Source organism: Homo sapiens, chromosome 19 (genome assembly GCF_000001405.40).
Source record: "Homo sapiens chromosome 19, GRCh38.p14 Primary Assembly".
NCBI classification, from domain to species: Eukaryota; Metazoa; Chordata; class Mammalia; order Primates; family Hominidae; genus Homo; species Homo sapiens.
In genome coordinates, this window is record NC_000019.10 from 35,314,214 (window position 1) to 35,327,515 (window position 13,302).

Genomic DNA, 13,302 nt, shown 5'->3' on the forward strand with positions numbered 1-13,302 from the left:
GCTTGGAGTGCGAGCCACAGATCTAGGTCTCACCAGCCCGTGTTGGTTTCACCACCATCTCTCACATTCATGCTGCAATTTGCAGCGTCAGCCTTTATACATCACTACATTCAGTTCCAGAAACATTAATTAAGCACCAGCTGTATACTGAGCCCTTTCTAGAGGCTCAGGCTGTCCTGAGAAGGGTCTCCTAGGACAGCTCTGTGACGATGAGAACACTGAGACTTAGAGAAGTTAGGTGATTTTCCCAGGGTCCCAGAGCTCGGAAACGGTGTGTCCAGGCCATGGGGTTGATGCTTCTGATTCAAATGCACTCTTTCTTTTCTTTTCCCTTCCTCCCTCTCTCTCTCTCTCTCTCTTTTTTTTGATGGAGTCTGTCTCTGTCACCCAGGCTGGAGTGCAGTGGTGCAATCTCAGCTCACTGCAACCTCCGCCTCCTGGGTTCAAGTGATTCTCCTGCCTCAGCCTCCCAAGTAGCTGAGATCACAGGCACTCGCCACCACGCCCGGCTAATTTTTGTATCAAATGCACTTTTTCTATAATACCTGTCAGGAAGTTAAAAAGGGCCAGAGTGTCTGGTATAAATGGGATTGATAACTAACAGTTGTTGAACGCTTTCTATGATTCTACCCAGTTTGCATTAATTAATCTCCATTAACCTCATTTACCTTCCCTAATAACTATGACAATGGTTCTCAAAGTGTGGTCCCTAGGCAGCAGCATCAGCAGCACCCAGGAACTTGCTAAAAAGGCAAATTTTCAGCCCCCACCCTAGACTTCAGGAATCAAAAACCCTGAGGTGGGGCCCAGGAATCTGTGTTTTGAGAAGTCCTTGGTGGATTCTGATGCACGTGCACGTTTGAGAACAAGCAGCTGAAGCATGGAGAAGTTACATCAGTTCTGTGGTCCCCAATTGTTAGCAGTGGAGCCCAGATTTGAGCCCCGACCACTGGCTTCGGAGGCCACACTCTGACGCTGTGCTACACGGCCATCTTGGTGAGAACCAACAGCTGCTCACAGAGCCCGGGTGCTGGAGGAGCAGTAAGGTTAAGCTGTGGGCTGCGGGCAGTGAGGGCAGGGTTTCCTAGACGGCAGCTCTCCCTGATTTTTTTTTGTTTTTTGTTTTTTTTGTTTATTTTTTGAGATGGAGTCTCACTCTGTCATCCAGTCTGGAATGCAGTGGCACGATCTTGGCTCACTGCAACCTCTGCTTCCCAGGTTCAAGCACTTCTTCTGCCTCAGCCTCCCAAGTAGCTGGGACTACAGGCGTGTGCCACCACACCCAGCTAATTTTTGTATTTTTAGTAGAGACGGGGTTTCACCATTGTTGGCCAGGCTGGTCTCGAACTCCTGACCTCAGGTGATGCGCCCAACCCACCCTCCCAAAGTGCTGGGATTACAGGCATGAGCCCCTGTGCCTGGTCTCTCCCTGCATTTTGAAGAAGGCAGAGGACACAGCACAGAGACCAAAATAAAGGCCTAGAGGCAGGAATAAACAAACCAGGTCGGGAGGGGAGGTGACATGGGGCTGCTTGGCTGGGATGGGAAGTCCACATGCAGGAGGAAAGGAGACGTGTGGGGGGCCGGGCTGTGGGAAGGGAAACCCTCTGTGGGGCCTGTCCAAGCTGGGAGGGTGCATGCCCTTTCTTCACGGAGCTCACAGTCTTGCAGGGACAAGGACATGAAAGAATCTCATGCACAATATCAAACTGCAACTGTGACACCGGCTTCCAAGGAGAAGCTCAGAGTTTTTACAGCAGGGGTCCCCAGTGCTATACTGCACACCCAGATACTGGTCTGTGGCCTGTTAGGGACTGGGCTGCACAGCAGGAGGCGAGCAGCCAGCGAGCAAGCATGACCACCTGAGTCCTGCCTCCTGTCAGATCAGCAGCGGCTTTAGATTCTCATAGCAGCACGATTCTTATCGTGAACTGTGCACGCAAAGGATCTAGGTTGCACACTCACAGATGGTGCCTGATGAACTGTCACTGTCTCCCATCACCCCCGGATGGGAACGTCTAGTTGCAGGGAAACAAGCTCAGGGCTCCCACTGATTCTACATGATGGTGAGTTGTATACTTACTTCATTATATATCACAATGTAATAATAATAGAAATAAAGTGCACAATAAATGTAATGTGCTTGAATCATCCCCAGCTCCCTCCCCACTCTCAGGCCCATGGAAAAATTGTCTTCCATGAAACCAATCCCTGGTGCCAAAAAGGTTGGGGACCGCTGTGTGACTTAAGGTCACAGGGGGCAGGGGAGGCTTCCCTATGGAAGGAAACTCACACATGTGTGAAGGCCCCAAGTGGGAACATGTTTAGCAAAATTCCAGGAGCTGAAGCAAGGCCAGAGAGGCATCGGATGGGGCTGGGGATACACAGGGGCCTCTCAGCAGCCGGGAGGGAAGCCTCTTCCAGATCCCCTGCATACATGCTCACCAGCCCTGCCCTGACACACCTGTCCCCTGACGACAGACTCTGGCTCCAGCAGGTCTGGCCTGGGAGGACTTCACCCAGAGGAGCAAAACATTGTCAATAACCAGGGATCGGGGAGTAACTCACGCTGCCCAAAGTGCAGCTTGAGGGCCCTGGGAGCCACTGTGACGCTACTGTGTATGCTTCATTTAGTATGCACCGGAACAACAGGAAACCAGAATGCCGCACCAGCTTCGGATGAGGCTAAGTCAAAATAAATAAATAAGAAAGAAATCAATCAACTGAACTGATTTTAAAAATGTATTAAATAAACATGTTGCAGGTGGCTCCTGAAGGTTGTAGGCAAACCTCTAAAGTTTGGGAAACAATGAGGGAATTTGACACAAAGACCATCCTTAGGAGGGACCGGCACTCAGCCATGGCGAACGTGTAGGACCGAGCCAGGTGCGGTGGCTCATGCCTGTAATCCCAGCACTTTGGGAGGCTGAGGCTGGTGGATGGCTTCAGCCCAGGAGTTTGAGACCAGCCTCAGCAACATAGCGAGACCCTGTCTCTACAAAAAATACAAAAATTAGGCAGGTATGGTGGCATGCGCCTGTAGTCCTACCTACTCGGGAGGCTGAGGTGGGAGGGATAGTTTGAGCCCAGGAAATGGAGTTTGCAGTGAGCCGAGATTGAACCATTGCACTCCAGCCTCAGCAACAGAGTGAGACCCTGTCTCAAAAAACGAACAAACAAACCAGTAGGACCTGAACTCAAGTTCACTCTCTCAGACTTTCCCCACCCAGCTCCTGGACCCCACCAGAATTCAACACATGCTCACTGAGCACCTCTGTGTGCCAGGCCTATGCTGGGCCCCAGGGTCACAGCAGTGCCCAAAAAGAATCACTCTGTGACCTCCCAGAGCTGACATTCTGCAGAAGAGACAGACAACGATCAGAAAGACAAGCAAACACATGACCGCACATCTGACAGTGAAGGAACTGCAGAGGGGTGCAAGGTCAGGCTGTGCTGGGTCAGGCTGCCATTTCAGAAAGAGAAGTCATTTGACTTGAGACCAGAAGGAAGTAAGGGAGGGAGCTCTGTGGGTTCCTGGGGAATGTGGGTCCAGGGAAGGCCAAAATCGAGTGCAAAGGCCCCTGGCGAGAATGTACTTGTTACCTTCATGGAACAAGAAGGAAAGAAGCATGCTTGAGTGGAGTGATGGAGCCAGAGTGGTTGCCCAAGGAAGCTCGATTACACAGGGCCTTGTAGGCCACAGGCAGGACTGGGGCTTGTTTGTTTGTTTCTTTGTTTGTTTGTTTTGAGGCAGAGTATCGCTCTGTTGCCCAAGGAAGCTCGATTACACAGGGCCTTGTAGGCCACAGGCAGGACTGGGGCTTGTTTGTTTGTTTCTTTGTTTGTTTGTTTTGAGGCAGAGTCTCACTCTGTTGCCCATGCTGGAGTGCAGTGGCACAATCTCAGCTCACTGCAGCCTCTGCCTCCCGGGTTCAAGCAATTTTCCTGCCTCAGCCTCCTGAGTAGCTGGGATTACAAGCATGTACCACCACGCCTGTCTAATTTTTATATTTTTAGTAGAGACGGGGTTTCACCATGTTGACCAGGTTGCTCTTAAACTTCTGACCTCAGGTGATCCACCCGCCTCAGCCTCCCAAAGTGCTGGGAATACAGGCGTGAGCCATCCCGCCCAGCAATGGAATTTAATCCTAGGTTTTTTTTTTTTTTTTTTTTTTGAGATGGAGTCTCGCTCTGTCACCAAGGCTAGAGTGCAGTGGCATGATCTCGGCTCATTACAACCTCCGCCTCCCGAGTTCAGGTGATTCTCCTGCCTCAGCCTCCCAAGTAGCTGGGATTACAGGCACGCACCACCATGCCCAACTAATTTTTAATAGACACGGAGTTTCACCATGTTGGCCGGGCTGGTCTCGAACTGCTGACCTCAAGTTATCTGCCTGCCTCTGCCTGCCAAAGTGCTGGGATTACAAGTGTGAACCACTGTGCCCAGCCAGGACTTGGGCTTTCAAAGAGCGCGTTGAGAAGCCGCTGGAGAAGTGAGTTCGGAGGGGTGTGATGGCAGGCTTGAGGCTTCAGAGGCCCACTGGCAGCTGCGTGGACAGTGAGCACAGGCTATCAGTGGAGGCAGGGACAGGGCTTGGGAGGCCCTGGCCATTGTCCAAGAGAGAGGAAGTGGAGATGGGGAGAGGGGTGGGGTCAGGACCCATTTTGGAGGAGGAAGTGGTGAGACTCACTTGAAGAGTCAAAGGTGACTCCAGCAGCTTCCTTAAGAGGTTGAAGAAAGCAGGAGGGGCAGGTTCAGTGGAGAACGCAAGAGTGATCTACTCCGGCCGAGTTCAGGCCCAGGGAGGCCCTCAGGGACAGGGAAGGCAGATGGCACCCCCTCCCTGGGAAATGCCAAGCCGAGGAAGAGTCAGAACACATGACACAGTGACTCAGAGAGATGGGGGCAGACGCTGAGATGAGGGTTGGCCAGGCAGGAAGGAAGGTGAGAAGGTCTCATGGCCTCACGTGCCAGTAGGGCTGGGCCACCACGTGTGGGAGGGAGGACACCCAGGCACCAGGCCATGGTCATGACACGGGTCTCTTTGTCCCTCCCGGTCTGCCAACCTCCTGAGTCACTCCTGACGGAGATGACTGATCCATCCCTGGCCCGCCTCCCACCCTGTCCCTGGGACAGTGCCTGGGGCAGGCAGCTCCATTATCCTCCTTGATGAAAGAGCTCCCAGCCAGCACTGGCCACTCCAGAGCCTCCTCCCCAGGTGGGTGATCATGCAGGGCTGGGCTCTTGCGACTGGCCGGGGGTAGAGATGCACCGCACTGCTGAGAAGTGCTTTCTAGGAGTTCAAGACCAGCCTGGGCAACACAGCAGACATTGTATGTAGAAAAAAAAATGTTTAAAAATAAGCTGGGCACAGTAGTGCATGCCTGTCATCCCAGCTACTCAAGAGGCTGAAGCAGGAGGACCACTTGAGCCCAGGAGTTTGAATCTGCAGTGAGCTATGAGTGCACCACTGCATGCCAGCCTGGGCAACAGAGTAAGACTCAGTCACTAAAAAAGAAAAAAAAAAAGATCGAATGTGGTGCTCATGCCTGTAATCCCAGCACTTTGGGAGGCCAAGGCGGGCAGATCATCTAAGGTCAGGAGTTTAAGACCAGCCTGGCCAGCATGGCAAAACCCCATCTCTACTAAAAATACAAAAATTAGCCAGGCGTGGTGGTACGCGCCTGTAGTCCCAGCTACTCAGAAGGCTAAGGCAGGAGAATTGCTTGAACCTGGGAGGCGGAGGCTGCAGTGAGCTGAGATCGCACCATTGCACTCCAGCCTGGACAACAGAGTGAGACTTGGTCTCAGAAAAAAAAAAAAAAAAAAAAAAAAGAAAGAAAAGAAAAAGGGGGAGAAAAAAAGGAGAAGTAGGCGAGCCTCTTTCTTTCCCCACTCTTCTCGCTCTCAACTCCAGGCTGCTCCTTAAACAGGAGGTGACAACCTCAACCTCGCAAATTAAAAAAAAAAATCTTTTAATTTTGAAATAATTATCACAGGAAGTTGCAAAGATAGAACAGAGAAGTCTGGCAGCAGCTGAGCCAAAGGCCCCTTCCCACCCTAGAGCTCGATCTGCCTGGGGAGCGGGAAGGAAATGACAGTTTAGTCCCAAAGGGCCTCTCTGTGAAGCTCAGGCTAGGGCTGAGTAGCCAGAGGTGGGTGAATTAATGTCTGCAGGGAGTGCTGGGTCAGCAGCGTAAGTGACAATGTCTGGAATAATGACAGCTCACTTTTACAGAGAGCCCGTTCCATAGCAGCCACCATGCAAAGTGCTGTAGGGGCTGGGGACCTGTCACAGCATAGCCCTGAAGTCATAACAGCAATCTTATTATCACCCTGGGAGGGAAACTGAGGTGATGTCACAACAAACACGTGGCAGACCTGGGACTGGAACCCGGGTCTTTTTACCACATGCTTGTCATGGGATGTGCGAGTTGCTGAGTGTGTCCTGTGTGTGCTGTCACCAGCCCGGTGAGGAAGGCACTATCATTGTTCCCGTCTTACCATCCTGGGCAGAGGTTGGGGGGTGAGGGGGACATAGCCAGGCAGGGAGTAGCCACCCAGGGCTCACAGGGACTCTGTTAGTTGCCTGCTTTCACTGCTTCCCTGGTAAAGGGGTGACAGTCAAGTCACCAAAAAAGGAGACCAACGACCTGTTTGAAGGAACAGGGAGGAAGAGTGAAAGCGCCGAGGCTGCGTTCTCAGGAGTCCTGCTCCTCCTCCCTTGCCTTCTCCACGCAGCCCTTGGCCTCCAGAAATCAAGACACGTCCACAAGCCCAATCTCCTCCTGTTAGAAGACTATGAGCCACACCTGGTGCTGTGGCCTGCAGAAACCTCAGCTACTCCTTCTAGGTGAGGAGCAGGAATTCAAGCCCCAAAGGGTACCCTCCCTGAGACCTTTGGGACCTGGCCACCTGGCTTGGAGTCCCCCATTGAGATTCCTGGGATTAAAAAAATAAAAATATACGGCCAGGTGCGGTGACTGGCTCCTGTAATCCCAGCATCTTGGAAGGCTGAGGAAGTGGATTGCTTGAGGACAGGAGTTGGAGACCAGAATGGGAAATGTGAGACCCCGACTCAATAAAAAATAAAAAATAAATTAACGGGGTATGGTGGCTGGTACCTGTAGTTCTAGTTACTCAGGTGGCTGAGGATTACTTGAGCCCACCTCAAGTTCAAGGCTGCAGTGAGCTATGATCACACCACTTCACTCCTTCCTGGGTGACAGAGCGAGACTGTCTTAAATTTTTTTTTTTTTAATAAGTATAGATTCACAGAAGTTGCAAAGATAGAATAGAGAAGTCTGGTGTACTCTTCACCCAGCATCCCCTGATGGTTACTTCTTAAGTCATTCAGGACAATATCAAAACCAGGAATTTGACATTGGTATAATGTGTGTGTACAGTTCTATGTCATTTTATCACATCTGGATGTATATAACAACAACTGCAGTCCAGATACAGAATTATTCTGTTACTACAAAGACCTCCCTTGTGCTACTCCCTTCATAGTCAGACACTTTCCCCTACCATCCCTAACCCCTGGCAACTTTTCATCTTCTCCACCTCTATCATTTTGTCATTTCAAGAATGTTATGCCTGGGCGTGGTGGCTCACACCTGTCATCCCAGCACTTTGGGAGGCTAAGGCAGGTGGATCACTTGAGGTCAGGAATTTGAGACCAGCCTGACCAACATGGTGAAACCCCATCTCTACTAAAATACAAAAATTAGCCAGGCATGGTGTTAGGCACCTTAATCCCAGCTACTCGGGAGGCTTAGGTAGAAGAATCACTTAAATCCTAGAGGCAGAGGTTGCAGTGAGCCGAGATCGAGCCACTGCACTCCAACCTGGGGGACAAGGGCAAAACTCCGTCTCAAAAAACAAACAAACAAAAAGAATGTTGTAACACATGTGATCCTTGGAGACTGGCTTTTTTCACTCTCTGTACCACTCTTCAGAATCGTCCAAGTTGTTGCCTGTATCCTCTTCATATCTCACTCCTTTTTATTGCTGCATAGTACTCCATGGCATGGATGTACCGTAATCTGTTAAGCCACTCACCTAGTGAAGGACGTATTGGTTGTTTCCAGTTTTTGGTTTTGCTTTTTTTTTTCTTGAGATGGAATCTTGCTCTTGTTGCCCAGGCTGGAGTGCAATGGCGTGATCTCGGCTTACCGCAACCTCTGCCTCCCAGGTTCAAGCAATTCTCCTGCCTCAGCCTCCCGAGTAGCTTGTGTTAGAAATGCTTGATTTTTGGTGCTGTAAAGAAATAGCACTTTAATGTAAATTTAATTTCTTCAGCAAGGCTAGTTTTACTTTCTGCAGAAAGGGTATACTCGCTAGCAGTTTTGCTACAAAAGTACACTGAACAAAGGAGACAGGGTCATTTATAACTTGATGCATCTACTTTATTGCTGTGTCTGGTTTCTATTGGCTGAAACGGGACCTCACATTCTGTATTTGTCTGGATTGGCTAGCAACTTAGAACTTTTTAAAAGAGGCAAAGGCAGAGGAGAACAAAGGAAGGAGAAAGTAACGTGGAATACTGAGAAAAGTAAAAACATTTCTAAATAAGGAAGAGGAACAGGCTTTGACTTAATGCTTTCTTGGACTAGTATAAGCATGCTAGGGCAAATCTTTAGGCTAAATTGTAGGATCTAAGAACATAAAGTACATTGATTTTTTTATTATGGCTAGTAGATATTTAAGAATGTTAGCACAGGTCTTTGAATAAATTTTGCTTCTAAGAGAAGTTACTATTTATTCTTAATTAGATGGGGAGGACAGTCTCTTTGAAAAGGAACTTCTACTTTACTATTTACACTGGGATTACCAGCATGTACCGCCACGACCAGCTCATTTTGTATTTTTAATAGAGACAGGATTTCACAATGTTGGCCAGGCTGGTCTCGAACTCCTGACCTCAGGTGATTGCCCTCCTTGGCCTCGCAAAATGCTGAGATTACTCCTGACCTCAGGTGATCGCCCACCTCGGCCTCCCAAAGTGCTGGGATTACAGGCGTGAGCCACCGTGCCTGGCCTGTTTCCAGTTTTTGGCTATTACAAACAAAGCTGCTGTGAATAATTGTGTGCAGGTTTTTATGTGGACATACGTTTTCATTTCTTAGGGATAAAATGCCCAGGAGTGCAATTGCTGGGTCATCTGGTAGGTATATTTTGTTTAGTTTTTCAGGAAACCGGCAAACTGTTTTCCAGAGTAGCTGGACCACTTTGCATCCCCACCAGTCGTGTGTGAATGTTTCAAGTTCACAGCATCCTCACCAGTGTTTGGTGTTGTCATTATTGGTTATTTAATTTTAGCTGTTCTAAAGCGGTATCTTGTCATGGGTTTCAATTTGCATTTCACTAATGGCTGGTGATGTGAGACATCTTTTCATGTGCTTATTTGCCTTCTATATACCTTCTTCAGGGAAAGGTGTCATCATGTCTTTTGCCTATTTTCTAACTGGACTGTTTTTTATTTATTTATTTATTTATTTATTTATTTATTTATTTATTTAGAGACAGAGTCTCACTCTGTCGCCCAGGCTGGAGTGCAGTGGTGGGATCTCAGCTCACTGCAACCTCCGCCTCCTGGGCTCAGGTGACTCTCCTGCCTCAGCTTCCTGAGCAGCTGGGATTATAGGCGCACACCACCATGCCTGCTAATTTTTGTATTTTTAGTAGAGATGGGGTTTTGCCATGTTGGCCAGGCTGGTCTTGAACTCCTGACCTCAGGTGATCCACTTTGCTTCCCAAAGTGCTGGGATTACAGGTGTGAGCCATCGTGCCCAGCCTGATTTTTATTTTATATATATATATATGTACACACACACACACAATATACATACACACACATATATGCACACATATGTGTGTTAAAGCTGTATGTAAAGCTGTTATATATTACATATATACTACATATATAACAGCTTTGCTGAGATATAATTCACATACCATAAAACACACCCATGTAAAATGTCCAATTGAATGGTTTTGGGTCTATTCACTGAATTATGCAACCATCACCACAACCAGTTTTAGAACATTTCATCACCCCAAAATAATCTCACATCCATTAGCAGTCACTCTTCATTTCCTCTTACCTTTCCCACCCCACCCCAGCCCTACGCAACCGCTACATCTACTTCTGTCTCTACAGATTTGCCTTTTCTGAATATTTCACGTGAATGGAATCATACAATATGTGACATTTTGTGATTGGCTTCTTTCACTTAATGTTTTCAAAGTTCATCCATATCCAGGCGCCGTGGCTCACGCCTGTAATCCCAGCACTTTGGGAGGCCAAGGCGGGTGGATCACCTGAGGTCAGGAGTTCAGGACCAGTCTGGCCAACATGGTAAAACCCCGTCTCTACTAACAATATGAATAATTAGCTGGGCGTGGTGGCGGATGCCTGTAATCCCAGTCACTCAGAAGGTTGAGGCAGGAGAATCGCTTGAACCTGGGAGGCAGAGGTTGCAGTGAGCCGAGATGGCACCACTGCACTCCAGCCTGGGCAACAAGTGAAACTCGGTCTCGAAAAAAAGTTCATCCATGTTGTAGTATCTATCAGTACTTCATTCCTTTTTATTATCAAATAATATTTTATTGTTTAGGTCTCCCATATTTTCTTTATTCATTCATCTCTTCATGGACATGTGGGTTGTTTCTGCTTTTTGGCTTTCATGAATAATGCTGCTGTAAACATTTGTGTTCAAGTTTCTGGGTGAACATGTTCTTATTTCTCTTGGTTATATATGTAAGAGTGGAGATGCAGGAGTGTATGGTAATTCTATGCTTAATCTTTGGAGGAACTGTTTTGAGACTTTTTTCCAGAGTGGCTGGACAATTTTATATTCACACTAGCAATATATAAATGATTTAGTTTCCATACATCTTTCCAGTATTTGATACTATCTTTTATTTTAGCTGTTCTTATAGATGTTAGTAGTGATATCTCATCATGGTCTTAACCTGTCTAAAGGCTAGTGATGTTGAATATCTTTTTAGATAATTATTTTCTATCCATATATCCCCTTGGGTGAAATTTCTCTTTATATCTTTTGCCAGTCTTCTAATTGGATGATTTGATTTTTTTATGTAGTGTTTCTATGTTGAATTTGAGAGTTCTTTATATATTTGTTCTAGATAGGAGTCCTTTGTCAGATATGTGGTTTGCAAATATTTTCTCTTAGTCTGTAATTTGTCTTTTCATTCTCTTAACTAGGTCTTTTACAGAGCAAAAAAAAATTAATTTTGATGAAGTTGGATTGATTTTTTTAGGGATCATGCCTTTGGTGTCATGTCTAAGAACACTTCATCAAGCTCTAAGTCTCACAGATTTTCTCCTATGTTATCTTCCAGAGGTTTTTTGTTTTTATTTTATTTTACTTTTTAATTAAGACAGAGTTTCGCTCTGTTGCCCAGGCTGGAGTGCAGTGGCAGGATCTCAGCTCACTGCAACCTCCGCCTCCCAGGTTCAAGTGATCCTCCTGCCTTGGCCTCCTGAGTAGCTGGGACTACAGGCACGCACCACCCAACTGGCTAATTTTTTGCATTTTTATGTGGTTGCTTTCGAGAATTTTCTCTGCCTCTTGTTTTTAGAAGTTTGACTATGATGTGTCTTGGCATGAATTTCTTTGGGTTTATCCTGTTTGTGATGCGCTCAGCTTCTTGAATCTGTAGACATATGTTGTGCGTGTGTGTTGTCAAATGAAGATAATTTGCAGCCATTACTTCTTGGAATATTTTTTTAAGGCCCACCCTCCTTTTCCTCCCCTTCTGGGACTTCAATGACAAAATGTTAGATCTTCTTTTATTATAGTTACTCATGTCCTTGAGGCTTTGTTCCATTTTCTTTCATCTATTTTCTTTCCATTGTTCAGAATGGGTAATTTCTATTGTTATACGTTTTGTTTCACTGCTTCTTTCTTCTATACTCTCCATTCTGCTATTGAGCCCATCCATTATGGTTTTTATTTCAGCTCTTGTATTTTTTAGTTGTATTTTTTAGTTCTAAAGTTTCCATTTGGTTCTTCTTTATATTTTCTATTTCTTTGCTGATACTTTTTATTATTTTATTTGTTTCAAGCACATTTATAATTTCTCAGTGAAACACTTTTATGATGGCTGCTCCAAAATCTTTGTCAGATAATTCTAACATCTGTGTCGTCTTGATGTTTGTGTCTGTTAATTATCTTTTGTTATTCAGTTTGAGAATGCCTGATTCCTAGTATGACAAGTGATTTGCCATTGAAGTCAGGATATTCTGGGCACTGTGTTATAAGATTCTGGATCTTCTTTAAATATTTTGTTTTAGTGGGCTTCCCTTTATACTGCTCCAGCGAAATAAAGTAGGGCACTGCCTGATTGCTTCCAGACAGGGATAAAAGTCCAGGTTCTCCATCCAGCCTTTCCTGAACCTGGGGGGTTGGGAGAGATGAGGCCTCCATGTTATTGTTTGGTAAGGGTAGAAGTTCAGGTTCCCCACTAGGAATCCATGACAACTCCCTGGCTGGGAGTGGGAGGGATGCTTCATTACTGCTCCCTATGTGGCTTTCACTGACACTGTGTGTGGCAGAGAGAGGGGGGTGCTTGTTACCACTGAGTGGTGGCGAAAGTCCCAACTCTCCACCAGGCCCCCTTTGACACTACTCCAATGGGGCCGGGTGGAATGCCTCATTTCTGCATTGGGGTGGCAGTGGATGTCCAGGCTGCCCACATGGTTTCCACCAACACCACATCGGGGGAGGGTGATCCCAGTGGGGAGGAATGTCCCAGCTCCAACTCTAGCATCACTCTGGCTGAGTATGGGAGTGGCCTAGGGTTCTTTGTTACAGCCTGGTGAAGGTGAATGTCTAGGTTTTCCATCCGGCCTTTGCTGACAAGGGTGATGATGGAACTTGGATGGAGCGGAGCAGGTATGGACTAAAAGAGCTCTGTCTTTCTAGGATGCCCCTTTCCTCGTTCTTTGGCTAGAAAAGCATAGTTTTGCTAGAACTTGTTCTGTTGGGACTTTTTCTTGTTTGTGCCCCTTGGCATTTTCAGTTGTTGGCTTCTCCAGTATTCAGCCTGAGATATATGAGGCAAAGAGAAATCCCAGGGAATTCACCACCATTCCTTAAGTCCCGAGGTTCCTAACCAGTCTGCTTCTCTCCATCTTTCAGTCTTCTTATGCTTGTCTTGTCACGTTCAAGGTTTTCAGTTATACTTGGCAGAATAAATAAATACATCTACTCCATCTTTCCAGAACATCACTGCTTTTTGTTCATTTTATTTATTTATTATTTACTGAG

The 13,302-nt window shown here is 46.9% G+C and overlaps 2 annotated features.

Moving 5' to 3' along the window:
* Window positions 4,832-5,011: an enhancer, noted in NCBI's record as "active region_14467". NCBI's record gives its function as "activates an Ori minimal core promoter by ATAC-STARR-seq in GM12878 lymphoblastoid cells {active_cell/tissue: GM12878}" and the evidence as "EXISTENCE:reporter gene assay evidence [ECO:0000049][PMID:35858748]".
* Window positions 9,236-9,295: a silencer, noted in NCBI's record as "silent region_10524". NCBI's record gives its function as "represses an Ori minimal core promoter by ATAC-STARR-seq in GM12878 lymphoblastoid cells {active_cell/tissue: GM12878}" and the evidence as "EXISTENCE:reporter gene assay evidence [ECO:0000049][PMID:35858748]".